The sequence below is a fragment of the Homo sapiens genome, chromosome 1 (assembly GCF_000001405.40).
Source record: "Homo sapiens chromosome 1, GRCh38.p14 Primary Assembly".
NCBI classification, from domain to species: Eukaryota; Metazoa; Chordata; class Mammalia; order Primates; family Hominidae; genus Homo; species Homo sapiens.
In genome coordinates, this window is record NC_000001.11 from 39310508 (window position 1) to 39338503 (window position 27996).

The following is a 27996-nucleotide window of genomic DNA, read 5'->3' on the forward strand; positions in this document are numbered from 1 at the left end:
TGAGAGAGTAACATCACCACTTTTTTCCATTTGAGTAGCTACGAACTTGAGATAGAGAAGAACTTATAGATGAATTCTCAAAATCAGATCATGGAAGAAGTCTGTTGATATTTCAGTCATTACTGCTCATCAACCTATCACATTTTCTTGTGGCTGTAACATGTTTGGACTCTCAAAGATTAGTATACAGTATGTGAAATTTAGGATCAGGTAGGATTAGGCAGAAGATTCCCTAAATAAAGCCTTGCTTTCATTAGTAGGATATCAGGTCTGCTTATCTCTGATGTCGAGCTTACTGGTCTTTTGTGTTTGTTCATTCACAGAGGACAAAGAGGAGACTGTGGCCAAGATGTACATTTCAGAGTTGAAGAACATCCGGCTACGCCTGGAGGAGTATGAACAGAGGGTGGTCAAACGAATTCAGTCTCTAGCCAGCTCTAGGACTGACAGAGATGCCTGGCAGGACAATGCATTAAGGATTGCAGAGCAAGAGGTAAGCCCTAAGAGCCATGTGGATGCTGGTTGTGGAGTGAATGCTTTCAGAGTTCATTGGATGGCAAGAGTATGGCACCTAAGAAATGAGGCAATAGACTCAAGACAGTCCTTCTCAGGAGTTCTTCTTGCAGTCTATAAATGTCTTTTACCCGTGGAGAAGTGTGATTTCAGCTCCATGTGTATTGCTAAATGTTGATTAGTTTCCTACAGAGTTGAGAAGGCAAACAGACTAGTAAATTTTTCTAAGCAGTATATTTGGGCTATGTATTTTGAAACTGCTTAGTAGAGATGCTACTCTTTTATTCTATCCCTTATGTGCCTGTGTTACTTTAAATGACTTGGTTACCTTCAGTCATATGACCAATAAATATAAGGAATGACTCTGATTTGAATGTGGGCTCTGATACATGCTCTGTCTGTGACTTTGAGCAAGTGAGCTCTCATCCCTAGTTTACTTTCTTGTAAAATGGAGATGGCAATGCACGATATAGGGTTATTTTGAAAATTAATGGTATAGTACATATAATGAGCTTCCTGAAAAAGTAAAATACTATGAAAATGTAGGATAGTATTCTTGAAGTAAAAGTAGCAAATATTTTTTGCTTTATTAAGTCCTCTGAGGCATACAAAGAAAAGTAAATAAAGATCCTTGTTTTTTGGCTTATAGTGTAGTGAAAGGAAAATAAAAAGTCGAAGTTACAATTGGAGACTTCAGTATAAGATATAAGAAATGTCATGAATAGTAACTAGTGTATTTCCAAGCAAAGATTGCTGTAGGAACTTAGAGTGTTTCTAGAACATTTCTAATTAGAATGGTATGAGAGAGCTCTATGAAGGCTATTAAATTTGATCTGGGAGCTTAAAGGGGATGGAAAGGAATGGCTAATGAGGAGGAGTGATTTTTCTAACTTTCTATTTTTTCCCCCCAAACCTGAAGAGAAGAGTGAGAGGGAAGTATGATTTTTACTGGTGGAGAGGGAGGTAATATGAGGCATATCATATGAGCCTGGGAATTCTCATGTGGAAGCTTTTTACTTTTCTATAGGGTGATACAAAATCTATTTGTCCCTGAAAAATAGAACTCACTAAGAAATAAAGGTTGACTGCATGCTTTGGGAGGCCGAGATGGGAGAATCGCTTGAACCCAAGAGTTTGAGGCTTCAGTTAGCTATAACTGCACCACTGCACTCCAGCCTGAGTGAAAGAGACCCTGTCTCAAGATACATATATACATACATACATCTAAAATACCTCTTCCTTTTTAAAACTTTATTTTAAAATAATTTCAGATATATAGAAAAGTTTTATTCTCTTATACCTTTCACCCAGAGTCTCCAAATGTTACCATTTTTGTGCATTTGCTTTATCATTTTATTCTATATATTATACATAATAACATTCCTTTTTTATCTTGAGAGTAAGTTCCAGACATGAAGCTCCTTTATTCCTAAATACTTCAGTGTGCATCTTCAAAAAACAAGGGCAGCCTCTTACATAACCACAGAACAATGATAAACATCAGGAAATTAACATTGATACGGGTTGAGTGTGGTGGCTCACGTCTGTAATCCTAGCACTTTGGGAGGCTGATGTAGGCGGATTGCATGAGACCAGGAGTTCGAGACCAGCCTGGCCGACATGGCAAAACCTCATCTCCACTAAAAGTACAAAAAGTAGCCAGGTGTGGTGGCAGGTGCCTGTAATCCCAGCTATTCAAGTGGCTGAGGTATGAGAATCACTTGAACCCGGGAGGTGGAGGTTGCAGTGAGCCGAGATCACACCACTACACTCCAGCCTGGGCAACAGAGCAAACCTGTCTCAAGCAAACAAACAAACAAGCAAACAAACATTGATATAATACTGCTATCCAAGCTCACGCCTCATTAAAATTTCATCAGTTGACCAAATAATGCTCTTTACATCCTCATACCATCCATCCCTAGCTACCCCAAGAAGGAAGGTCCAGGATTCAGTCCAGGATTACATATTGCATTTGGTTGCTGTGTATCTTCAGATTTCTTTAACTTGAAATAGTTTCTCAACTTTCCATCATCTTTCATGACCTTAACATTTTTTTTATGAGTGCAGCCCATTTATTTTGTAGAATAAATGTAGAATATTTTGTCCTTCTGTTTGTGGTTACCTGAGGTTTCTTCCTGATTAGTGTTAGGTCTTACAATTTTGGCAGGAATCCTGCAGAAGTGATACTGTGTCCTTGGTATATTAGTGTGTCATATAAGGATACATATGACATTACTGGTGATGTTAATTTTCATCTCTGGTTCCTATTTTCCCTTTGTAATTACTGAGTATCCTATGGGGAGGTACTGGAGACAATGTAAATATCCTATTTTTCATCAAATTTTCACCAACTAGTTTTAGCATCCATTGTTAATTCTTGACTGAATCACTTCTTAGTATCATAGTTGCCAAAAGCTGCTTTTCTAATTCTGTCGTTCCTTCTACATAAAAAACATGTACATTCTATGGAAAAGGAAAAACCAGGCCTTCTTTCCTTTTCTGTAGTTTGTCTTCCTTCTCTCCCTCCCTCCCTTTTTTTTTCTTCCCTCCTTCCCTTGCTTTCTTCTTTCATTATTTATTTATGTCAATATATACTCATGGATTCTTATTTTATTCAATGGTGTGTAATTTGTTACTGTCATTGTTTTCATTGTTTTGATGCTCAAAATTTCCCAAAGTTAGCCAATGGAAGCCCCTTCAAGCTGGCTTTTTTGTCCTTTTAACATGTCCCCATCATTTTTTGAGTTATTTCCTTCTTTCTCTTTTTTTTAAATAGAGATGAGGTCTCACTATATTACCCAGGCTGGTCTCCAACTCCTGGCTTCCAGCAGTCCTCCTGCCTCAGCCTCCCAAAAGTGCTGGGATTACAGGCATGGGTCATGATGCCCATTGAAGTTCTTTCTTTTTGACAAAATAAGATCTTCCAGGTTCATCTTGCTTTTTCCAGTCTCAACCCTGGAAATCAACTGTTTCTCCAAGGAGTTCTGATTCTTTTGGGCAGAGAATATTATTTAGAAACTAAGATCTGGGTACCAAATGTATTCATTGTTGTTGGAGTATTATTGCTTATAGGCCCACTTAGCAGACAGAGCTAGAAAACATAGGCCGGGTGTGGTGGCTCACGCCTATAATCCCAGCACTTTGGGAGGCCAAGGCAGGTGGATCACCTGAGGTCAGGAGTTGGAGACCAGCCTGGCCAACATGGTAAAACCTCGTCTCTACTAATAATACAAAAATTAGCCAGGCATGGTGGCGTGTGCCTGTAATCCTAGCTACTTGGGAGGCTGAAGCAGGAGAATCATTTGTACCCGGGAGGCGGAGGTTGCAGTGAGCTGAGATCGTGCCATTGCACTCCACCCTGGGCAACAAGAGCGAAACTCTGTCTCAAGAAAAAAAAAAGAAAACATATATTTACAAATATATATATGCATACACACACACACACGTGTTACATATACACACATATACATGTACGTAAGTTTACAGATATAGATCAATATATTTATTGATCTCTCAATTTCTCTTTCTCTCTCTCTCTCTCTCTCTCACACACACACACACACACACACACACACACACACACACAAATTCATATGTATTTGTCTCCCCATCCAGTTCCCAACCCATAGCACAGGGATTATTCTAGCCTCTTTCCATATTTTTAACCCCCTTCCCCAAGAGAGAAAAACCTGCTTTATGTTATCCACAGTATATTTACTTATTGTTCAGTCCTAGCATTTACAGATAGTAGTTTCAGAATTGTTAACTCACTGCAGTAAACAAACCTACCAAACTAGAGTTTAACATTTATTTATAGTTCCTTATGTCTTTAGCCTAAAGGTATATCTATAGTTCGAATACTGAGTTCAGAAATTGCTTGTGTGTGTTCTTACCCTTTCTTCCCCTTCAGTGTGATTATGTTATTTATCTGAAATACAGTTAGGCTTATATATTTCTGTTGTGTTCCATTTGAGAGCCACCCTTAAATTTTCCTTATTTATTTCTTTACAAGAATGTAAAACATTAACATGGTTCTAAAAGTCAAATCTATACAAAAAGAAGTGTATTCCCCTCTAGCTAGTCCTTTTATCCCCTTTGCCTTCCTTCGATCCTTTCAATTCCATCCTTTTCATCTCATTAGTTTCTGGTTATCCTTTCTGTCTGTCTCTTTGTATAAACATATACACATATATTTTCTCATTTTCCCTTCTTTTATATACAAAATATAACATGCTATAGATACTCTGTTGACTTTGCTTTTTCTGCTTAAAAATATATCCTAAAACCACTTAATTCACAGAAATCTTTCTCATTTCATTTACAGCTGCATAATTCTCCATCGTATGTCTGCTTCATAGTTTATTCAACCAGCCTCCTATATATGGGCATTTAGGTGGTTTCCAATATTTAGCTATTACAAATGTGGACTTCTTTCTACCTTTTTTGTTCAATTCTGTCTCCCTCTTTATGTGTGTCTTGTTCCTGGCAGCACACCCAGGAGGATTTACAGCAATTGAGGTCAGACTTGGATGCAGTTTCTATGAAATGTGACAGCTTTCTCCATCAGTCTCCATCTAGTTCAAGTGTCCCAACTCTGCGCTCAGAACTGAATCTGCTGGTGGAGAAGATGGACCATGTCTATGGTCTCTCTACTGTATATCTGAATAAGTGAGTGAGCTGAGGTTTTGGGTCCAAGAGCAATATTTTCCATTGGGATAAGAAAGAGAAAGGCTTAAAGTATTTCATGAATAATACAGAGAGATTATAGATCCTGAAGAGCATATACTGATAATGAGAGGTCTTGGCTTCAGTTCCTAGTAACATTAAGTAGGTTCATTTGGACTGCAGTGAAGAAGTGCCAGTGATATGAAAGGGGAATTAATTTGCAGTGTTGGGACTATGATTTACCTCACTTCTGTTTGATTAAATATTTCTGAAAATAATACTTAATGGCATAAAGACAAAGGAAGAGACACTAAAGAATAAAAAGAAAAGTTTTTAGTTACACTAGGTATTAGACTTTGAAGGTCTTCCCTCTTCCCACCCATCTCTACCTATGACCTTGAAGAGTAGCGCATCTTAAACTCTTCATAGTGTAAAATGGGTTTCTGGCTTCATGCCTTTCTTCCATGAGTCCACCACATGTATGCATGTTCCAATGCCACTTAGAACTTTATTTTGAATTGGCTTAAATTGGCAGCATAAAAACCACATTTACTTGTTTTCACAAAACCCTGTCAACATCTAAAAATGGTGACATTGATTTTGGTTATTATGTTTTATGAACCTCTCTATAGCACTCCAGGTATATAACCCTGGCTCCTAAAATTCATGTGTTAATGAAGGAATGTGTATTTGTCCCCACAGGTTAAAGACAGTTGATGTTATAGTACGTAGCATACAGGATGCTGAACTCTTGGTCAAAGGTTATGAGATTAAGCTGAGTCAAGAAGAAGTAGTACTGGCAGATCTCTCAGCTCTGGAGGCCCATTGGTCGACATTACGGGTGAGTTGCTCTGAGTTTCTTAGGAGGTTGACCTAACATATTCATTGCTTTGGGTTAGCAGAGAAATGCAATTTTGGATGGCATGACACTGATTTAAATTTGCATTTGAATAAGGCAGAATGTCATTAAATATATTTTAATATGTATTCAAAGAAGAAGGGACTGAGAAGTATGTCTAGCTAGAAAGGGAAGAGAAAGGACTAGGTTTTTCTATTTATTTTTTCCCTTTTCACCTTAATAAAATCATGGATTAATTGGATACAGTCAGTGGTTGTGCCATAAGTTTATAAATCACTTAGCTGTTATCTAATTTGATTCTCACAAGCCACTCTGTGAGGTGGACAAGAAGAGATTTTTCTCTCCATTTACAGATGAGAAAACCAACACTTACTCTGGCTAAATGACTTATTTTGGTTTCATATGTTATAAGTGGTGAAGCCAGGTTTCAAACACAAGTTCTATGCACATTTCTCTATAGAGTACTGCCTGTCCTTGGCATCCCAGTGTGTATCAGGAAAGCAGAGACCATGACATGTGGAGGCAGTCCTGGCACAAACATTCCAGGGCACAATCACATATACAATGTGGAAATAGCTGTAGACCGTGTCCTTGTTTCCCACCTTAGACTGACTCCTTTTTAGCATGGAAAGTATACAACCTGTTTCTGTACTTATGTTTCCACAGCACTGGCTTAGTGATGTGAAGGACAAGAATTCAGTGTTTTCAGTCCTGGATGAGGAAATTGCCAAGGCCAAGGTAGTGGCAGAGCAGATGAGTCGTCTGACACCAGAGCGAAATCTGGATTTGGAGCGCTATCAGGAAAAAGGCTCCCAGCTGCAGGAGCGTTGGCACCGAGTCATTGCCCAGCTCGAGATTCGGTGAGTGGTGGCCCCACCTTTTTCTCCTATTAGAGTTCAGGGACTAGGTCTTAAACAAAAACAGAGTTATATCTGTACATTTATATTTAAAGGTGGAAATGGATAGGGAGGGGTGGAAATTTAAAAACCACATAAATTCTGGACAAGTAAGTGACAGAAAGGTGAGACCGGCAATCTCAAAGCAGATGTAATGCCTCTCCTGTGTCCCAGGTCTTTTCTAGTTAAGCCACTGATGACAATGGCTTCCTGGAATGTAGACTTGAAAGGTCCCTGGTGATCTTTTCTCAAGGACAAAACCTATACTCTAGTTCTTGTTTTATTAGCTTTGTATCCAAATATGAGCCATTTTTTATGATGGAGCTTTACAGAATTTCTTGCTTTCATCTCATTTGCTAATTCAGTAATTTTTCATCTCTGTTACTAGAGGTCCTGCTTCTAATGACAGATGTAAATAGGAAGGACAGAAACTGCACCTTTTGGAGGCTAAGCTGGTTAGGGAAATTTGTAGGGAGAGGAGCTTAACAACTCATAAGTTTTCATTCTAATTGAAGTCTTATCACAAAGCTGGTTAGACTAGAGAAGTGATATGACTTATTGGAAGTAGCAGGAAATAATGACTATTTTTCACTTCTCTCCCCTCTCTCCTTGAGAAATTATAGTGATTCATAAATCATAGCTGTGCTGTACTGACAGGTACTCTGTCATCAGGGAATAGAACTGTACAGCCAATACTACCTTATTGGTCACCCTGGTAATTCTTGGCAACCTAGGTGAAAAATTTGACAAGGATTATTGTGGGATGCTAGACCACAAGGCAGCATCCAGGGCTAGCAGGTCACAACTGGTTTCTACTCACTTTTTTGACCATAGGGCACTGGTACATGCATAGGTCTCACTCAGCCTTGCATCGCTGTTCCCCGTAGATAAAGATGGATCGTTTGTGGTCAAGCCCAGCTGGATACATGGGTTAAAGAGGGAATTACCTCATTTACTTTATTGTATTTGTACCAAGGTATCTGATAGCAGTTTCCCTTTGTTCTTCTAGCCAATCTGAGCTAGAAAGTATCCAGGAAGTTCTGGGAGATTACCGAGCCTGCCATGGAACTCTCATCAAGTGGATTGAGGAAACCACTGCCCAGCAGGAAATGATGAAGCCAGGCCAGGCAGAGGATAGCAGAGTGCTTTCGGAGCAGCTCAGCCAGCAGACGGTGAGTGTGGTAGTAGCTCTGGCGAGAAGAGTTAGAAATTTAAATTTTCTTTATCATAAAAGAAAATGATGTACTGGCAATTAAAGCTTCCTCCAAATGGAAGATATCCAAATTCCCTTTTCTTTGAGTGGTTTGAGCAGGATCGTCCCAAGATACTGGTTTTGCATTTAGACTAGAGAACCTGTAAGGTACCTTCAGTTCTGAGTTTCTGTAACTGTATTGAAACCACTAGATGGACAGATTAAAATTATCTTTATTTTGTTTTTTTTTATATTACATTTTATTTTACTAGGATTAGATATGGGGTTTTGAAAACCAAGGGAAAATTGTAAGTAGAAGAAAATGATTCTTTTTTTTTTGAAAATGATTTATTTTAAGCATTTTTTTTTTGTTGGTATTTTGTTTTGTTTTGTTTTGTTTAGCATTATGGTTAAGAGTATGAGATCTGGAGTTGTATTGCCTGGATTCCAATTCTGGCTCACTTACCTACTATAAGCCTTTGAAGAAGTTATTTAGCTTCTCAGTGTTCTACTTCCTTATCAGTAAAATGGACATAGTTTGTTATTTATTTAACCTACCTTATGAGATTATCGTTGCTAGGATTAACTGAAGTGATACATGTAAAATACTTAGAATAGTGGTTCTCAAAGTGTGGACCCCAGACTAGCAGCATCCGTATCACCTGGGGACATGTTAGGAATGCAAGTTCTTGGGTTGGGCACAGTGGCTTCTGCCTGTAATTGCAGCACTTTGGGAGGCCGAGGCATGGGGATCACTTGAGGATAGGAATTTGAGACCAGCCTGGTTAAGAAAGCGAGAACTTGTTTCTACAAAAGATTAAAAAGACAAAAAAGTGCAAATTTGTGAACCCAAACCCACTGAACCAGAAACTCTGGAGGTGAGGCCCAGCAGTATGTGTTTTAACCACCCTTTCCAGCAATTCTGATGCAGCTAAGGTTTGGAAACTACTGCCTTAGAACATAGTAAATGTTCAGCTCTTTCAATGGTGGTAATGGCAATGATAATGTTGTGATATTTTGCTTCCTAGGCCCTATTTGCAGAAATTGAGAGAAATCAGACAAAACTGGATCAATGTCAAAAATTTTCCCAGCAGTACTCTACTATTGTAAAGGTAACTTTACCACATCCCAAAAAGAACATGAATCATCACCAGCTCAGGAAAACCTACATCTTCACTGTAGGTTCTGTTTCTAGACAAATTAAGCAGAGTTCTTATGCTACAAGCTGGCCTGATCCTTCAGTTAAGCAGATGTGTATTTCCTGCAACCCCATGTTTGGGGTTGCTTGGAGAAGTAGCAGACGTTGGCTGTGATTTGAGGAGTCTCCATTTGCGTGACCGTAGGCCCTTTAAACTTAACATGGCAAAAACAGAATGTTTGAGTTTTCTTCTTAAATATGCTTCTTACTTGTCTTTCCTATCTCAGGAAATAGTATGGCCATTTTTTTCTAATTGCTGAGGCAAAAAACCCAGGAGTCATCCTAAACTGTTCTCTTTGCCTTAAGCTTTATATTCTCCGTTGGCTCTTGTCTTCAAACATGTCCCACATCTGACTGCCTGCCGTTATCTCCCCTCTATTTCCCTAGTTCACATTCCAGTGAAGAATCTTCTTTAGACTACTACAGTACCCTCTGAGCTGGTCTCTTGCTTCTGCTCTGGCCCCCACAGGCTATTTTCCCACAGAGTAGCCAAAATCCCCTTTTTAGAACATATTGCATGTCACTGAATCTTAGACTCCATTGATTACAAGCTACACCATAATTTTCTGCATGCCAAAAAGAGGAAAAAAGAAGAAACTCTGCCAGTTATGTGACATGCCATTGATTCTAAAATATGTTCCAATTTGAAAGACTAAAATGTGGAGAAAATGTGTACCTTAGAATAGATGAAATACAGCAAATAAGATCATGTCACTCTCCTGCTCAAAACTGTCCAATGGCTTCATATCATAGTCGTAATAAAATTCTAAATTCTTACATGGTTTATAAGGCCGTGAATGATTTAGCTCTCCCCTATTTCTCTTAGAATATCTTTAAGGAAAAATGACTTGAGGCCAGGTGTGGTGGCTTATACCTGTAATCCCTGCACTTTAGGAGGCCAAGGCAAGAGGGTTACTTGATCCCAGAAGTTTGAGACCAGCCTGGGCAACATATCAAGATCCCATCTGTAAAAAAAAAAATTTTAAATTAGCTGGATGTAGTGGTGTGCACCTGTAGTCCCAGCTCCTCAAGAGGCTGAGGTAGGAGGCTCACTTGAGCCTGGGACATTGAGGCTATTGAGCCGTGATTGTGTCACTGCACTTCAACCTGGGCAACAGAGAAAGACTGTGTCTCCAAAAAAAAGAAAAAAATAACTTGAGATTATTACATATTTATTTGTTTATTCTGTGACTCTTACTAGAATGTAAGTTCCAAGGGAGCAAAGTTTTTCCTGACTTGTTTCTCAGTGTGTGTGTATAGCACTCAAAACAATGGCAAGTACATAGAAGATGCTTAACAAATACTTTTTGAATGAAGGCTTTCCTTTAGTTAATAACAGAACACTCACTGTAAGAAAGAATTGAGTTCAAACCCTTCACCATTTTCCAGGCTTACTTTGAGTATGCACTTAGACTATGTTTCTGTTACTGTATCTATAAAGTGAGAACAATAATACCTCACTGAGTGATTGTAAAGATTAAATGAGATAATGTATACATAGGACCATGCCTCAAACTTAAAGTGCACTCAGTAAGTGGTAGCAATTGCTTTGATTATATTTTAATGTTCTTACTACTATTTTTTTATGGGTTCCTTCACAAATTCATTCCTTGTTTTCCTTCTACCCGGAGTTTTTTTAAGTAGACAGCAGAAGGACGTTTTAGGCAAAGGAACTGCATAATCCCAGGCAGAGAAGAATGAAAATACTTGATTATATGAGGAAATAGAGAGTATTCTGATATAGCTAGAAGGCACAATAAGGAGCAGTGACTATGGAAAATTAGCGGTGAGATTGGGGCCAACCCATGACAGGCCTTGTTCCATTGTTGTGGCTTTATCTTCTATTCTTGCTTCTCAAAGTGTTGTCTTTGAACCAGTAGCATCCGTAGCACCTGGGAGCTTATTAGAAATGTAGAATCTCAGACCTGCTGAATCAGATTCTGCATTTTAATAAATTATATGGGGATATAATTTATATGCATGTTGGTGTTTGAAAAGCTCTATTCTAGATCATTGAAAGCTTTTTAAGGAGAAGAGTGATGTGGTCATCTTTGGGTTTTAGAAAAAGTATTCTGGTGGAACAATAGAGAATAAATTGAGATTAGACTAGAAGCAGTGAAAGTACCTAAGAGGCTACCGCACTTATAAGGCTACTTCATGTGAGAGAAGAAGAGAGTGGACTAGAGCAGAACTTGCAGGGTTGCAGAGGAAGTGGCAGAATAGTATGGTAAAATGAGAATACTGGTTCAGGGATTAGAAATCTAAGATTCTAATCCTAACTCTGTTAACACTTACCCACTTAGTTAATTAGGGAAATTCACATCCCCTCTCTGGGTTTCACTTTCCCCACAGGTGAGATGAAAGGGTTGGTCAGACTGCAACTAAGGCGTGAGCAAACTATGACCCACAGGCCAAATCTTGTCCACACACCTGTTTTTGTATGGCCCATGAGAAAAGGTTGAAAAGAAAATCAAAAGAATAATATTTTATGATGTGAAAATAATATGAACTTCAGTTTTTAGTGTTCATAAATAAAGTTTTATTCTAACAACCACACCCTTTCATCTATATATTGCCTATGGCTGCTTTCACTTATAATGAGAGAGATAGTATGGCCTGATATTTTCTGTCTGGCCTTTTACAGGAAAAGTTTGCTAACCTCCAGCATGAGTGGTCACCAAAACGCTTCCAGCAATAAAAAGCTATGATTTATTACATGATGTATGTGAATTATAAAACCCTGAGTAACTGTAGCGAAATTCATCCTTTCCTAGGACTATGAATTGCAACTGATGACATACAAGGCCTTTGTGGAATCGCAGCAGAAATCCCCTGGCAAGCGCCGTCGCATGCTTTCCTCTTCAGATGCCATCACTCAAGAGGTGAGAGGGTGGGGGAAGGAAATACACCACTGTCTTCCCTTAAGGAAAGATTCATTTGCCTGGGCCTTACATTTTGATTTAGGGCTCACTTTTCTGGTGAACATGTGACTGCATGAACATTTCCTCTTATTTTGAACTATTTAAATTTCATTTTCTGGCAGACGATTTATTTAAATTGTTCTTTTGAACCACAGTTCATGGACTTAAGGACTCGCTACACGGCATTGGTGACTTTAACAACTCAGCACGTGAAATACATCAGTGATGCACTCCGGCGTCTGGAGGAGGAGGAGGTGAGGACAGTTGGGTCCAAAGTCATCTTGAAAGTACAGTAAAACATCTTAGCCAGCACGGTGGTGTGTGCCTGTAGTCTCTGGTACCCAGGTGGCTGAGTTGGGAGGATTACTTGAGTCTAGGAGTTTGAATCCAGCATGGGTGACATAGGGAAATCCCCTCTCTACAAAAAATATTTAAAAATTAGCTGGGCATGGTGGCACACACCTGTGGTCCCAGTTACTTGGGAGGCTGAGGTGGAAGGATCACTTGGGCCTGGGAAGTTGAGGCTGCAGTGACCATGATTGTGCCACTGCACTCCAGCCTGGGCAATAGGCTGTCTCAAAAAAAAGCCCAAAATATCCCACATACCCCGTAAATATATACACCTACTATGTACCCACAAAAATTAAAAAAATTTTTTAAACCAGCAAAATATATGCTATATATGTAACATATAATTAAATTATTATATAATATATATTTTATTTGAGAGACAAGGAAGTTAGAATACTATGTATAATTATGATTTCATTAAAAACAAAACTGTGTACTACAAAGACATGGCATAGAAAGAAGTTTATAGGCACCTATACCAAATTTCTGGGGAAATAACGTTAACTTACATAATTATGTATTTTAGACTTGTTTGAATTTATTGTAATGAGCATGTCATCTGTTTGTAACTGTAAAAATCTTCTGTCTTTGTAAAATAAGTTTCTGCATATTCAGCCTCTCTTATAAAAAAAAAGCTGTTAAAACATTAACCATACCATCTTTTGCTTTTTAAATTAGCAAGACTTTCTTTATATCCATACCTACATAATGTAATCTCAGTAGGCTTCAGTCTCTTCTCTTCTTACAGATTCACCTGTAAACCTAAGAATTATGAAAATGAGTAAGATGCTATATGTGAAGAGATTTTTTTAAAAAGCATCAAATAATTATTGAGTGCCTATTATATATAAAACAGTGGTTTGTATTTTTCAGAAAGGTATTAAACCTAGGTATAATAAATTTAGCTCACAAACACCTGTGAGCAATACTGTAGGCTGGGCTAAATTATACTTGGGGTTATTTTCACAGCCCACTTATTTAGGTAACTGTATCTGTTTTTAGGAAGACTTCATTTAAGAAAATCTGAAGTCGTGCCAGCCTAATAAAAGACATTGCTAGCATATTGATTTTCTATTTCCTATTCTAGAAAGTGGTAGAAGAGGAGAAACAAGAACATGTGGAGAAGGTTAAAGAACTTTTGGGCTGGGTGTCTACCCTAGCGAGGAATACACAAGGAAAAGCTACCTCATCCGAGACCAAAGAATCAACAGACATTGAAAAAGCTATTTTGGAACAGCAGGTGAGAAGAAGGTCCATCTCTGTTTACCTGGGTAGAATAATATGTGATAATACATTAGGTGGAATAGTAGAAGTCACATGTGGGCCATTCCAGAAGTGATTGCTACCTGAGTAAATGTTAAAGAAACTTAAGAAGCCATCTTGTTTGTTCTTGTACCTTTTTATCAGCTGTAGCTCATTGGTGATAATAATTTGACCTAAGCTGCATATTTTCTCTAGGATTTAAAAAAATAATTTTAAATAATTTTTGACTCTTAATTCTTGGGTTTTGAAGCTTTTTCTCTTTATTTCTACCATGTAGGTTCTGTCAGAAGAGCTGACAACAAAGAAAGAACAAGTCTCTGAAGCTATTAAAACATCACAGATCTTCTTGGCCAAGCATGGTCATAAGTGAGTATTAAATGAGAGATTATGGCACATCTGGGGCACCTGGTCTATCAGTCTAAAACTTACAGCCATAATGAGATTTCAGAATGGAGAATTCAGAGCAGCAAGAGCCAGATTATGGGGACCCTGTAGTTCATACGGAGGAGTTTGCATTTAATTTGTTGGCTATGGGAAGAGATTTTAAATGTGATTGTGTTTTACTTTTAAAGGTTGCTAGAACAGTTATATGAAGAAAGGATTGACATGTGGTGAGAATAGAGGCTGAGAGGCCTGTTAAGAGGCTATTCTGATAATGTAGACAAGAAATGACGAGGAATGGAAACAAAGAGACTAATATTCAAGAGATGTTAAGGATAATGAATCTATGGGTGTGGTTACACATGAAAATTATCGCATAAAGTGACAGAGATTTGAATTATCAGTGTATTAGAAACCATGTGGGTAGATTACTCAAAAGGGCTTTTTGGGGCTTCTCAGCCTGTTAAGGAAGCCTCAGAGAAGGAAAAGGAAAATTATGAGTGATAACTCAGAACCCAAGAAAGAACAGAGTTCCAAAAAGGAGAGAAGTTCAGAAGTCAAGAAAAGTTGAGAAATATCTGTTACATTTGGCAAGTTAGAAGTCTTTGGTGCCTCTGGTGACAAGTTGTGGGATGAGGTCAGATTTAGTATGGTGAGGAGCACATTGGAGGCAAGCAAGGCGAAACAGAACTGCTCTTTCAAGAAGCCAGGACATAGGAGCAAAAAATATAATAGAGTCAATATTTAAAAATGAAATATATGGTCAAGAAGGGTTTTGTTTTCTTAAAAGATACAATGGACTTAACTATGTTTTCGAGTAAGTCTCAAGGACAAAGGGGAGGAGATAATTAGAGAAAGGTCCCAGTGGACATGCAAGAGGAGGAAACTCATTGATAGTTAGAAAGTACAACCTTAAACAGGAAATTGGGACCACCTTTTTTCTGAGGTGGAGATGAGGGAAAGGAGATTAAGAAAGGTATGGATAGAGGTAAATTTGTTAGGACCGAAGCCAGAAAGTAAGAGAATTAGTGCCCAGTGGTCTGTATTTTCTCTTTGAAATAGGTGGAGAGGTTTGTTGAAAGGATGGTGCCGAGGAGAAAGGAAGAGGGACTTGGCTGGGAATTTACAAGAGGATTGTCAGGAAGTATTGTGACCCAGTTGAGATTGGAAACCAGTGGGCTCTGTCTATGTGGTTGTGGAATTTTTTTTTCTCTAACTGGATTTACCTAGCAGCCTTAGTGTAGGAGCAGAAGAGACTGGTGGTTTGATTGATTTGGGGTTGGGCTTTTATCAGGTTAGCGAGTGGAGAGTGCAAGGATAATGGTAAGGAACTGATCAAGAATATGGATTGTGGGGTCTGGCCTCTGAAGAAAAGAAACTTAATAGAGAGGACTGATAGAATAAGAGGAAATGGAGGCATTAAGGAAGGCTTAGGACATATCCATGAGTTGATGGATAGATCCCATTTGAATCAACAGAGTTCATTCTCAGAAACATAATGTGGAATGAAAAAAGAAAGTTGCGGGATTCATCAGATTCAAGAGGTGGTTACCTTTGGGAAGAAAGGGAAAGGAATGGACTTGGTGACAAATATACAGTGGGCTTTAATTATATCTGTAATGTCTTATTTCTAAGAAAGGGTCTAAAGCGGCCAGGTGCGGTGGCTCACGCCTATAATCCCAGTACTTTGGGAGGCTGAGGCGGGCAAATCACCTGAGGTCAGGAGTTCGAGACCAGCCTGGCCAGCATGGTGAAACCCAGTTTGTACTAAAATTACAAAAATTAGCTGGGTGTGGTGGCGGGCACGTGTAATCCCAGCTACTCGGGAGGCTGAGGCAGGAGAATCACTTGAACCTGGGAAGTGGAGGTTGCAGTAAGCCAAGATCGCACCACTGCACTTCAACCTGGGTGACAGAGCGAGACTCCATCTCAAAAAAAAAAAAAAAAAAAAAGAGAGAAGAAAAAGAAAAGGCCCTAAAGCAAATATGTAAAATAGTAAATTGTGAAATGAAAGCTGGATAGCTAGACAACAGGTAAATAAGAATGTGTTACATTCTTCTGCCTGTTTAAAATATTTTATTTTAAAAAGAAAATAGGTATAGAAGGAGTAAAGAAAGATAAAACTGAAAGGTAGAGTTATAATCATATAGTGGATTCTTGAAGTCTAAGATTTCAGAAGCAGAATAATTTCAGATGATAGGATCTAAGTTTGACATTTGGGGGTGGGGCTAAAGTGGAGATGAGGTCATTTGAACTACAAGCATAGGGGTGACATAGCATTGACATCATCAAGAACCATGACTTGATTTGAGATAAACAGAAGAACTGACTGAAATGCCAAAGTCTCCGATGAATATGGAAGAAGATCATCCATCCAAGATGAAGAAGTAGCAATTTTGAAGCAATAGAGCAGAGTTTGGAGATTGTTTTTTTTTCTCCTAAAAAAGCTTTAATGCTTCATCTTCCAGGCTCTCAGAAAAAGAGAAGAAACAAATATCTGAGCAATTGAATGCCCTAAACAAGGCTTACCATGACCTTTGTGATGGTTCTGCAAATCAGCTTCAGCAGCTTCAGAGCCAGTTGGCTCACCAGACAGAACAAAAGGTACTTTTAGTTTTCATCTCCAAATATTGGGTGGATACCTTTTGAATGGTATGAAGGCAGCTTTGCTGATTCAGAGTCATGATCACTAGCTTTCCATGACCAATGTGACTTAATTTTTAACCTCACCTTAGCAGCCATTTGTCTTGTGTTTCTTTACTGGGGTTCCATGATGTGTTGGTCAGTCAAAAGCACTAGAAGACACTTACAACTAACCCTTTAGACCTGGTTCACCTTTTTTGTCTTATGCCATTTTGTGGCAGACAGCAGTCTAGGAGAACATAAATTCTGTATTATATGTGATCACAGGGCAGTAACATACTCCCTTGTGGCATTGTCACTCAAAAGTTGATAGCCAAAAGTTCTGGATATTGGGAAGAAAAACCTGTGAACCTCTTCCCTCTATACTAAGGCAGTAAGAAATATTAAGTTCCAAAGCAAACTGGTAGAGTAGTTTCACTGACTAAGACGCTGGTTCCCCTCACCCATAGTCATCTCATCATGTGGCATCTTGACCAGTTCCCCTCCATATTCATTTCCTGGACCATGTGAAAGTCATCATAGTTCCTACTGGTTGTCCTAAGTTCTTCCTGGATACTTGTGCGTGTGTGTACACTTACCATATTATATACATGTGTCTCTGGGATATATATGTGTGTTTGCCTGCTTATTTCCTATGTTGTGAAGCAATGGCCAACTTATGTGGGGCAGGCCAAAATTAAGCTCACGTGATAGTCAAATTTGGTCCAGATGATGCTCAAAATGATATTCAGACAAAGCATGTCTTGATTCTGATCCTTGGATATAAATTTTGTGCAACAGGAGCTAGAGTTGTAAAAACCACAAGACAAAACCAGCTATGATTTGATGGTGTATTTCCAAAAACAAAGTGCTGGTGTAACATTCTCCATTTAAGGTAGCCCACTTCCAGTGGCTTGTTGCTTCACCATATAAGGGAGTATGTGAAAAGTTTTAACAATTGCTTGCTGAGAACATCCGGTTCTCATTTTGAAAGGTTAAAAAAGAGGGGGGAAAAGGAAAAAAAGAAAAAAAGAAAGACAGGACAGGCTGCTGAGCACCACTACATTGAGCATGATGTGTCTCCTGTATGTGTGTTTCATGTGAAGTATTGTTCTGATTAACTGACATCCTTGCTTACAAGTTTCACTAACCCTTTGGAGTTTAAGCACAAATGCACAAAGGGAAAAGAGGACGACCTGTTTGGGGTTCTTTTTTGCAAAAACAAACAGTCGCATGCTGGACGCTAACACCAAGCTTACACTGTGTGTGTGATACGGCTGAGCTGCTCCATAAGGCTCTATCTTTTATCTGCCCAAGGCGTGCCCTGCAACTCTGGTAAGTAGAAGCCTTTTATGTTTTCTTTCCTCCTCTCCTTCTATCTCTTAATGCTTGTTTAGGTCAGAATGTCCATGTTTGGTAGGACAGAAATGAGTTTCTCTGGATTTTTTCCCAGCTGAGTATTTCCTGCCTATCCTTCAATTATATGAGGGTGTTGGAAGTAACAGTGTAGACTTTTCTCTTTGGCTACACTGCAGGCCTTTCTTCAATGTCAGCATTTTTGAGACTCCATGAATCTCACAAAAGAAATGAAAAGTTCTCAAAGGGATGTTTTTCTTTGTCATATTGTCTGTTCTGAATAGTCTTTCATGGATTTTCTAAAAGGAATTTTTAAGGTATCTTGAAATTTTTCAGTTATCACATTCCAGTGAACTTTTTCCTTCAATTTCTTTAAAACAGACACATAGTGAGTTTGTATAATATATATGTTTAAATTATATGAATTGGACTTTCTATTCTTGGTCAGAAAACATGGGGATAGGGAATAAATAATACTTTAAATAGTGTAGAGAAGTCTGTCAGTTATTCCATTGATTGAACACATATGTAGAAATGGAGATGAGAACCAAATATACTGTTCTTTCATTTGCTATCCATTCTGTATTCTTATTGTATGCACCTCATCAAGCTTGAAATCCTCAGTGCGTGTTTCTAACACCTGAGGGGAAATGGCTTAATGATTTTAAGGGTTTCCTTATTATTTATCCATATTCATCCCATATTTATTAAATGACAGCTACTGTTCCTAGACCTTCATGGACAATGGATCAGCTCTTACAGAACTTACTCACTGAGATAAAATGAAATGCCATTATTTAGGAGGCAGGGAAATAATTGGAAATTGCTTCCACAAGATCCTCTATCAATAAGATAGAGAGTTAAATAAGTAATCAGAAAGTAGCACTGACCAAAGAGGGACAGATAAAATTATATACAGAAAATGAAAATAATGAACATGAAAAGAAGAGCTGAAAAGTTGGAGAGTAATAAAAATGATGAAGTGTTGTAAGTGGTTAAACACTTAAATAATTTAAAATCTGAATGTATTATTCTGTGATAAAAGATCTCAAAAATGAGAATTCTTTAGGAGCTGTTTCTAGGATTTGCAAGGGTAATTTTGACAGCGTATATGCCTTATTCACTGACCTTCGGACCTAACTCCTGTGTTAAGATGTGACTCTACTGTACTTGTCTTTTACAGTTTTCTGGGTCTGACTCTGGGAGGACAAACAAGATTTAGAATCAGACCTTGATTTGTTTCTGGAACTCACTAGTTTTGTGACCTTGGACAAGTTACCTAAACTCTGTGCCTCATTTTCATTTCTTCAAACTAAAGATTCAAACAATTGTTTTCATAGGATTACTGTGAGAATTAAATGTCAGTGTTCAGTAGATCTAGTAATAAGTGATAGCTGTAGTCATGGTTATTGTACTACCCATTCTAGCCTGGATCAGAAGAAAAGTTACTAGTGGTTCCATAGGCAAGGGTCCCCAATCTGTTTCTTCCTTGACTTGCTACTTCCAAGACCTAGAACTAACTTAATTTAGAGCCATTGCCTTGGGAGAAGCTAGCATTGTCCAAGAATATGAGTATCCCACTTGCTAAATAGTTGCTTGAGTAGTATACACAGGCCTGTTTACTGGGATGCACAATTGTTCTGGAGCTTCTGGGCTGCATAAATCTCTCTTATTCTATGGACCAGTCCTGCTGTGCTCATCAGCAGGGAATTGCTACTTCTAGAGTCTTCTGTGTGGTTTGCAACACCAAAAACTTGTTGTATGGCGTTGAATTCTCACTTTGGGGGAACTGTTACGTGTCTTTAAGAACATTTATGATGATTTAGTCTTAGAAATAAGATTAAATCCTATCATTTTCACTGCTTACCACCCTGTAGAGCTTGTCACTCAGATATGCTTAATGCCACTATCTCTCAAGTAATCTAGGAACTTCTGACCTATTAAACATTCTGCAGTTTAGAAAAACTCTTTTTTAGTCTTAACACCGGGTGGCTTGCTTCAGAATATTTCCTACATGTTGGGGCTTATCCCATGCTGGGTTTTCCTTGTGGTCAGAATTTTATATACTGTAGTACTTTTTTTTTTTTTTTTTGAGACAGAGTCTCGCTCTGTTGCCCAGGCTGGAGTGCAGTGATGCAATCTCAGCTCACTACAACCTCCACCTCCCGGGTTCAAGCCATTCTCCTGCTTCAGCCTCCTGAGTAGCTGGGATTACAGGTGCGCACCACACCCAGCTAATATTTTGTATTTTTAGTAGAGACGGGTTTTTCACCATGTTGGTCAGGCTGGTCTCAGACTCCTGACCTCATGATTTGCCTGCCTTGGGCAGATTATAGGCGTGAGCCACTGTGCCTGGCCTGTATACTATAGTTCTTTGAATGACTCCTTTCAATAGTTGTGCTTTGCCATTGGCTCTGATTCAGTTTTCTTTTTCTTCTCTTTTCCTTTTTTTTTTTTTTTTTTTTTTTTTTTTAGGAATGCAGAGCAGTTGCTGGGGTGATTGACCTAGGCACAGTGGAGATATTTCCCATCTTCAAAGCCATGCAAAAGGGCCTCCTTGACCAAGACACAGGCCTAGTGCTTCTGGAATCTCAGGTTATCATGTCTGGCCTCATTGCCCCTGAGACGGGTGAAAACCTCTCTTTGGAGGAGGGCATAGCCAGAAACCTCATTAATCCCCAGATGTACCAGCAGCTCCGGGAGCTACAGGATGCCCTGGCCTTAATAAGCAGGCTTACTGAGAGCAGAGGCCCTCTTTCTGTGGTGGAAGCAATTGAAAAGAGAATAATCAGTGAGACAGTTGGACTGAAAATCTTAGAAGCTCACCTGGCAACTGGAGGTTTCAGTCTTTCCCCTAGTGAGAACTGTATTAACCTGGAAGAGGCTTTTCATCAAGGCCTCATTTCTGCATGGCTTCATTCAGTATTAGAGTCTTATCTTAGAACATCCAAGAATTTGATAGACCCTAACACAGCTGAGAAAATTGGTTTGCTGGATCTGATGCAGCGATGTATTGTCCACCAGGAATCAGGATTCAAATTACTGCCTGTCAAACAATTGGCAGGGGGGATGGTGAGCTTGAAATCAGGCCGGAAGGTTAGCATTTTCCGTGCAGTTCAGGAAGGGCTAATAGATAGGCAGGTCACTGTCCGGTTGCTGGAAGCTCAGCTTTTTGCTGGTGGCATAGTAGATCCAAGAACAGGACACAGACTTACAGTGGAAGAGGCTGTAAGACATAATCTGATTGACCAAGATATGGCCTGTGCTATCCTCATAAGGCAGCTTCAGACAGGAGGCATCATAGACACTGTCACGGGGCAAAGGCTAACAATAGATGAAGCAGTGAGCAATGATCTAGTAGCTGCTAAGATCGCCCTTGTGATTCTGGAGTCCCTCTGGTCATTCATGGGGTTGCTGTGGCCTGAATCTGGAGAGATCCTCCCAATTACAGATGCCCTAGAACAAGGTATTGTGTCTACTGAACTAGCACATAAAATCCTTAGTAACCGACAGCATATTAAGGCTCTGTTTCTACCAGCAACCACAGAGATTTTGTCCTGGAAGAAAGCAATAGAAAGTGGTATCCTGGATAGAGATCTTGCCAATAACTTAAAATCGATTTGTATACCTGATGTGATGCCCCACATGCAACTAGCAGACTCTGCAGAACAAAATATTAATCCTGGAGCAGCAGTTCTACCGTGCAGCAAGAGCCACCCTAAGGCCACAGCAAGCCAGAGTGAGAATCTGTTGTTCCAGCTGATGACTCACAGCTATATTAATGTGCAAAATGGACAGAGGCTGCTTCTGTTAGATAAAGAGCTGATGGAGACACTAACATCCAGAGATGAGTATCAAACAAGTCCTCCAAAAGTGGTTGAAATTGGGCATCAAAGGCAAAAAACTCCTGAGGGATTGCAAGAATCAGCTAATGTGAAAATCTCAGGAACTTTCAGCAGTGGGTGGACTGTGAGGCTGCCTGAGTTCCAGTTTTCTTCTCAGAACAAAGAATATCCCGATCGGGAAGATTGCACTACAGAAAAAGGCAAAAAGACCACTGTAGAAACAGAAGATTCTTCTGTAGAGAACCCTGAACAGGATCTGTTTGTAGAACAAAAAGAGAGAAATCCAAACATTGATGCTTTGAAGGTAATAAATAAAGTCAAATTAGAGGTACAAAGGCAGTTGATAGGTACCCAAAGGGAAGACCAAACAGCAGTGTCTGTCAGAGAAAATGCCAGCAGGGGACACCTCCTGACCATACCTCCTGCTGAGGCGGAAGGTGTGCCGTTGGTGGTTGACAAAGATGTTTTTTCTGTTGAAACACCAAAGAAAGAACATCAACCTCTAAGAAACACTTCCTTTACATGTCAGAATGAACAAGCACACACTCTTGAGACTGAATATATTCATGATGAAACTGGAGGATCTCACATAAAACCCCAAAGCAAAAAGTTACAAGTTCAGGTAAAGAAAACTCTAGGTATAAAGTTAGAACTAAAGTCTGAAACTGATGGGAATGTTCATCCTCTGGACAAAAAGGAAATGTTAAAGAAAACATTTCTGGCTAAGGATGACCATAAAGAAAGTCAAGAAGCACAGAACATCGCAGGTGGTAGTATGATGATGTCAGAAAAGACCGATGAGGAAGATAGTGGCAGGGAAATTTTTCTGTCATGCAGTCATCCATTAGAATTGCTTGAAGAAGCTACCTTAAATGTATTATCTGCACAGTTACTAGATGGTGGTATCTTTCATGAACAAACAGGTCAAAAGCTCTTACTAAATGAAGCAATATCCCGAGGCATTGTGCCAAGTCACACTGCCGTGAAGCTTATGGAGAAGCTGAACATGTTTCAGGGGTTCTTTGACTCTCAGACTTGTGAGTCTTTGACAACTGAAGAAGTCATTAATGAAGGTCTGATGGATGAGAAATTATTACATAATGTCCTCATGGCAGACAAAGCTATAAGTGGTGTCTTAGACCCCCGTACCCAGACACTGTGCTCTGTAAAGGATGCAGTTACAGTTGGACTTCTTGACAAGGAAACAGCCACCAGAATTTTAGAGAGGCAGGTGGTGACTGGTGGAATTATTGATCTGAAACGAGGCAAAAAAGTTTCAGTAACTTTGGCCTCAACTCTTGGCTTGGTGGACGTTGCTGACCAGCCAGAACTTATAAATCTGGAGAAAGCTTCCAAAGGTAGAGATGCTGAAAAAACAGTTAGGGAGAGATTAATTAGTTTACAAATGGAAACAACAGGACTTATAGACCCTGATAGTAAAGCACCTTTAACAGTTGTGCAGTCCATTGACAGAGGTCTTTTGGAGAGAGAGGAGGCCGTTCGTTTGTTGACTAAGCAAGTGGTAGATGGAGGTATCATTCACCATATATCTGGGATGAGACTTTCTGTTGATAATGCCTTCAGACATGGCTTAATTGGTGAAGATTTAGCCGAGAAACTCAAAAGAGTTGAGAACTTAAACATCCATCAGATTTTTAATCCTGAAACGAAGGAAAATATTTCCCTCCCTAAAGCCATAAAATTAGATCTTATTACCTCAGACCTGAAAAGAGAAATCCAGGAGGTTCAGGCCTTTACTGGAAACTTTGTGGATCTCATTTCTGGTCAGAGATTGACCTTGGCAGAAGCTAAAAAAGAAGGACTGTTAACTAATGAAGCAGTATTGTCTCCAGGAATGATGCATGGCATTGTAGATCCCGAGAACTGCAGAATTGTCCCCTACTCAGAATTAGTCAAGAAATGTAAGATTGATATTGAATCTGGACAGAGATATCTAGAAGTAATTCCCTTCTCAGACATTAAAGATGGGGTGAGCGACAAAGTGCTTACATTGTCTCAAGCAATTCAGCTTGGAAAAGTAGACTTTGCATCTACGCTGAAGGTTCTAGAAGCCCAGGCAAATACTGGTGGAATCATAGATACTGCTACTGGAAAAAGACTGACATTGGCATCAGCTTTGGAAGAGAAACTGGTGGATGAAAACATGGTCAGAATTATTGCATCTCATCAGGTGTTAAATGGAGGAATTGTTGACATATTTAGTGATCAGAGAGTGACTTTAGTAGAAGCTATTGAGAAAAGACTGATCAGCCCTGAACTGGCAAATATGATCCAAATAGATAGTTCAGAGTTCAGCGATCACAGGGCTCAGATTGAAAAGCAAGAAGGGATTGAAGTGTGTGCATTACAAAATGAATTTCTAGGAAAGGATATGTTAATTGCTTGTAATCAGACTGCTGAAATGAGTTGTAATAAAGTAGAAGAGAGTGAGAGATTATTTCAAGTTGAAAATCAGTCTGCACAAGAAAAGGTTAAAGTGAGAGTTTCTGATGGGGAGCAGGCAAAAAAGAGCAGGGAAATTTCCTTAAAGGAATTTGGGTGCAAGGATCAACGTAAGCCAAGAATGTCTTCAGATGCTAAAGAATTTATCAGTATCATAAATCCTCATAATCTTAAAGGTAAATCCTTGGGCCAAGTGTCATTGACACACCCTTACTCTGAATGTGATTTTAAACTTAAAGAAGTGGCTAGAAATAACATGGGAAATGATACAAATGAAGAGCAGGAAAAAGCAGTGACAAAAATAGAAATTATTTCTCATATGAAGCAGTCTACCTCATGTCTAGATTCTGAAGAAATAAGAGAAAATCAAGGGGAAGTGATTTTGGAAGTACAAGAAACATATTGTGAAACGTCAGGCAAATTGCCGAGTGAGCAGGTTTTGCAGCAACCAATGAATGCTCGGGTGAAAAGTAAGAGAGAGAAGAGGGAGGTGATTGTAGAAGAAAGTATCAGAACATGCAAACCAGCATTTCTTTCTGAAGAAAAGTTGTATCAGGAAACTGCCATTAGAGATGAGCATGACTCCCATATAAAGAGCCAACCTAGGGAAATGACCTCAAGTGAAAAAGGGAAAGAAGCTGATACAGAAATGGGATTTTCTATTACTTTTAAAATTGAAGAGTCCTCTTCCCAAGTGGTACCTCAAGGAATTTCTGTAAAACATTTAGATGCTTTAACACTCTTCAGCTCTAAACAGGCCAATGAAGGAAAAGTAAACAATTTAAGTCTCTGCTTGACTTTAAAACCAGAAGAAAACTTATCTCGAGAAATTGCCTGTGGGGCCCAGAGTGAACCATTCCCTTGTATGACCCCAAGACCTGAAGGATTGCACTACCAGGAATCAGATGGAAAAGCCCAAGTGACAGGCCCATCCCAAATTTCCAAAACAGACAAGTCTTTCCAAGGAACCACCAGACAGGAGACCAACTATCAAGATTCCTGGGTTACTTCGAAAACTAAGGAAACCAAACATCAAATTTCCTCATCTAATGAATGTAAAGAAAAGTCATACCAAGAAGTATCTTTTGACCCAGCAAGAGGTCTTAAATTGGAAGAAATCACAGTTTCTAGACCAGATTCAAAAGAAGTCAGGTATCTAGAATTCTCAGACAGAAAAGACCTTCATCATCAGGGCAGCAAAAGTGATGATAAACTTTGTGGAACTCTCAAATCTGAAATAGCAACACAGGAACTAACTGGAGAGAAATTTCTAGAAATGGCAAACCCTAATGTTGCAGGTCTAGAAGCAGGATCCATTGAGGACATAGTGACTCAGAGAGGTTCCAGAGTCTTGGGATCCTTTCTTCCAGAGAAACTGTTCAAAGGAGTGTCTCAAAAAGAGAATACAGGGCAACAGAATGCCATCATTAGTCCTACTGTTCTAGAGACCAGTGAAGAAAAGACAGTGTCCCTAACAGTATGCTCTGCAGTGAAGACAGAGAAGACACCACAGGAAAAGCTCAGAGAAAGCCCTGGCAGTGAACAAACTCCCTTCATGACTGCACCTGAAGGAAAGGGAAATGGAGGTGTAAACCCAGAGCCCTTCAGAGCAACTCAGGTCAGTGGTGTGCTTTTTTTTTTTTCTTCCTAAAGATACAATTAGTTTAATGCTAAAATTCTTAACTGGGTACAGAGTTTACATATGTGTAATTGTATGCCTCTATACATTTTAAGGCACTAGATGATTCTCTAAGATATAACTTAGTTTATCATCATCTGTTTGTAGCAAAGTTGTTGGAAAATTAGGCATTGGCTCTGAATGTCTTTCTGAAATCTGCAAGGGTTTTAAATAGAAACGAGCTAATAGAAATACTAGGATGATGCTACCTGAAATCAGAATAGCTTTTGGAAATTTTGGTAAAATGATGCTTGTAGATTGATAGCTCTGAGCTTCTGCTCTCTGAGGAAATTGGTAAAATCACCTTTGTCTATTGATTTGAAATGACTTAAACAAAGTGTTTTATTTTATCCCACTCTATGTGCAGTAAAAATTGCTTCTATTTGTCTAACAAAAACCCCTGCCTGCTTTAAAGCTGACTTACAGGAGAACGTCAGAACTGAGTCAGCTTTCTTTTTGGCTCCACAGAATGTATTTACCCGGCAACTCTGTTTAGAACATGATGAAAAGCTAGTATCCTATCTGTCTCTGTTACGGAACATTGAAATGAGGACCAAACAGATTCAACCTTTGGAGCTAAACCTGGCAGAACTACAGGATCTGCTGTGTCAGGCCAAGGTAGGTTCCCAGAGACTTCCACCACAGACACCAGCTTCAAGATAGCTGCCTCCATCTTCCTTGAAGATTTCAAGACTTACTAGAACCTGCTTGCACTCTATTCTAGGGTAAACAATCTCAGACCCTTGTCAGATAATTATGGGATGGGCTACATTTGGATAGACCGGATAAAATTTATACAGGATAAACTTGAACAGACCTTGGATTTGGCTATCAATGTAATTACTACCATTTTTTTTTTTTTTTTTTTTTGAGATAGAGTCTTGCTCTGTCACCCAGGGTGGAGTGCAGTAGCGGTGATCTCGGCTCACTGCAACCTCCGCCTCCCGGGTTCAAGCAATTCCCCTGCCTCAGCCTCCCGAATAGCTGCGACTATAGGCACCTGCCGCCACGCCTGGCTAATTTTTCTTGTTTGTTTGTTTTTTGTGTTTTTTTGTGTGTGTGTGTTTTTTTTTTGAGATGGAGTCTCACTCTGTTGCCCAGGCTGGAGTGCAGTGGCGTGATCTCGGCTCACTGCAAGCTCTGCCTCCCGGGTTTCCGCCATTCTCCTGCCTCAGCCTCCCGAGTAGCTGGGACTACAGGCGCCTGCCGCCACGCCCAGCTAATTTTTTGTATATTTAGTAGAGACGGGGTTTCACCGTGTTAGCCAAGATGGTCTTGATCTCCTGACCTCGTGATCTGCCCTCCTCGGCCTCCCAAAGTGCTAGGATTACAGGTGTGAGCCACCACGCCCGGCCCTACCAATTGTTATCTGCGTGGTTTTGGATTGATTTAGGTAAGTTCAAAGGCAGAGTGATTGGTTAGGAAACTATTGCAGTAATTCAAGCAAGAAATGTTGGAGGCTTAAAACAGTAGATTAGATATGTAAGTTAATCTCTCTTACTTCCTAAAACTATACTAAGACATCAGGAAAAAGGTTTTTTGGGTTGTTTTTTTTTTTTAGTGCATAAATTCATAAAAGGGCAAGAGAGGAGAAAACAGCAGTAAAATTTTAGAAGTTAGAAAGCAGCTGGATGAGGCGATAACTACCTTAGCAAGCTAGAGTAAACCAGATCCTCAACTTAAAGTGGAGGAAGCTAAGGAACAACCTGATTTATACTACAGAACTCCCCAAAGCCTCAAAAATTGGGAGCACCAGAAAGAGATGAAAATGGATATGCAAACGGGCTTAT

General features: G+C 39.4%; 1 protein-coding gene across 2 annotated transcripts in view, besides 1 other annotated feature; it reads left to right on the forward strand.

Annotated features, from left to right (window-relative positions):
• MACF1 (microtubule actin crosslinking factor 1) overlaps positions 1 to 27996 on the forward strand; it is a 402972-nt gene that overhangs the window by 226341 nt on the left and 148635 nt on the right. The window contains exons 26-38 of one of the 2 annotated variants that reach the window (NM_001394062.1): positions 324 to 493; positions 5006 to 5184; positions 5884 to 6022; positions 6707 to 6900; positions 7946 to 8108; positions 9157 to 9240; positions 12101 to 12208; positions 12403 to 12501; positions 13686 to 13838; positions 14139 to 14227; positions 16711 to 16846; positions 20696 to 26146; positions 26675 to 26824. In NM_001394062.1, the coding sequence (NP_001380991.1) occupies positions 324 to 493; positions 5006 to 5184; positions 5884 to 6022; positions 6707 to 6900; positions 7946 to 8108; positions 9157 to 9240; positions 12101 to 12208; positions 12403 to 12501; positions 13686 to 13838; positions 14139 to 14227; positions 16711 to 16846; positions 20696 to 26146; positions 26675 to 26824 (7115 nt within the window). The remainder of the gene's footprint in view (positions 1 to 323; positions 494 to 5005; positions 5185 to 5883; positions 6023 to 6706; positions 6901 to 7945; positions 8109 to 9156; positions 9241 to 12100; positions 12209 to 12402; positions 12502 to 13685; positions 13839 to 14138; positions 14228 to 16710; positions 16847 to 20695; positions 26147 to 26674; positions 26825 to 27996) is intronic. The other variant, NM_012090.5, reaches the window with a different exon arrangement.
• Positions 11418 to 11607: an enhancer, noted in NCBI's record as "active region_810". NCBI's record gives its function as "activates an Ori minimal core promoter by ATAC-STARR-seq in GM12878 lymphoblastoid cells {active_cell/tissue: GM12878}" and the evidence as "EXISTENCE:reporter gene assay evidence [ECO:0000049][PMID:35858748]".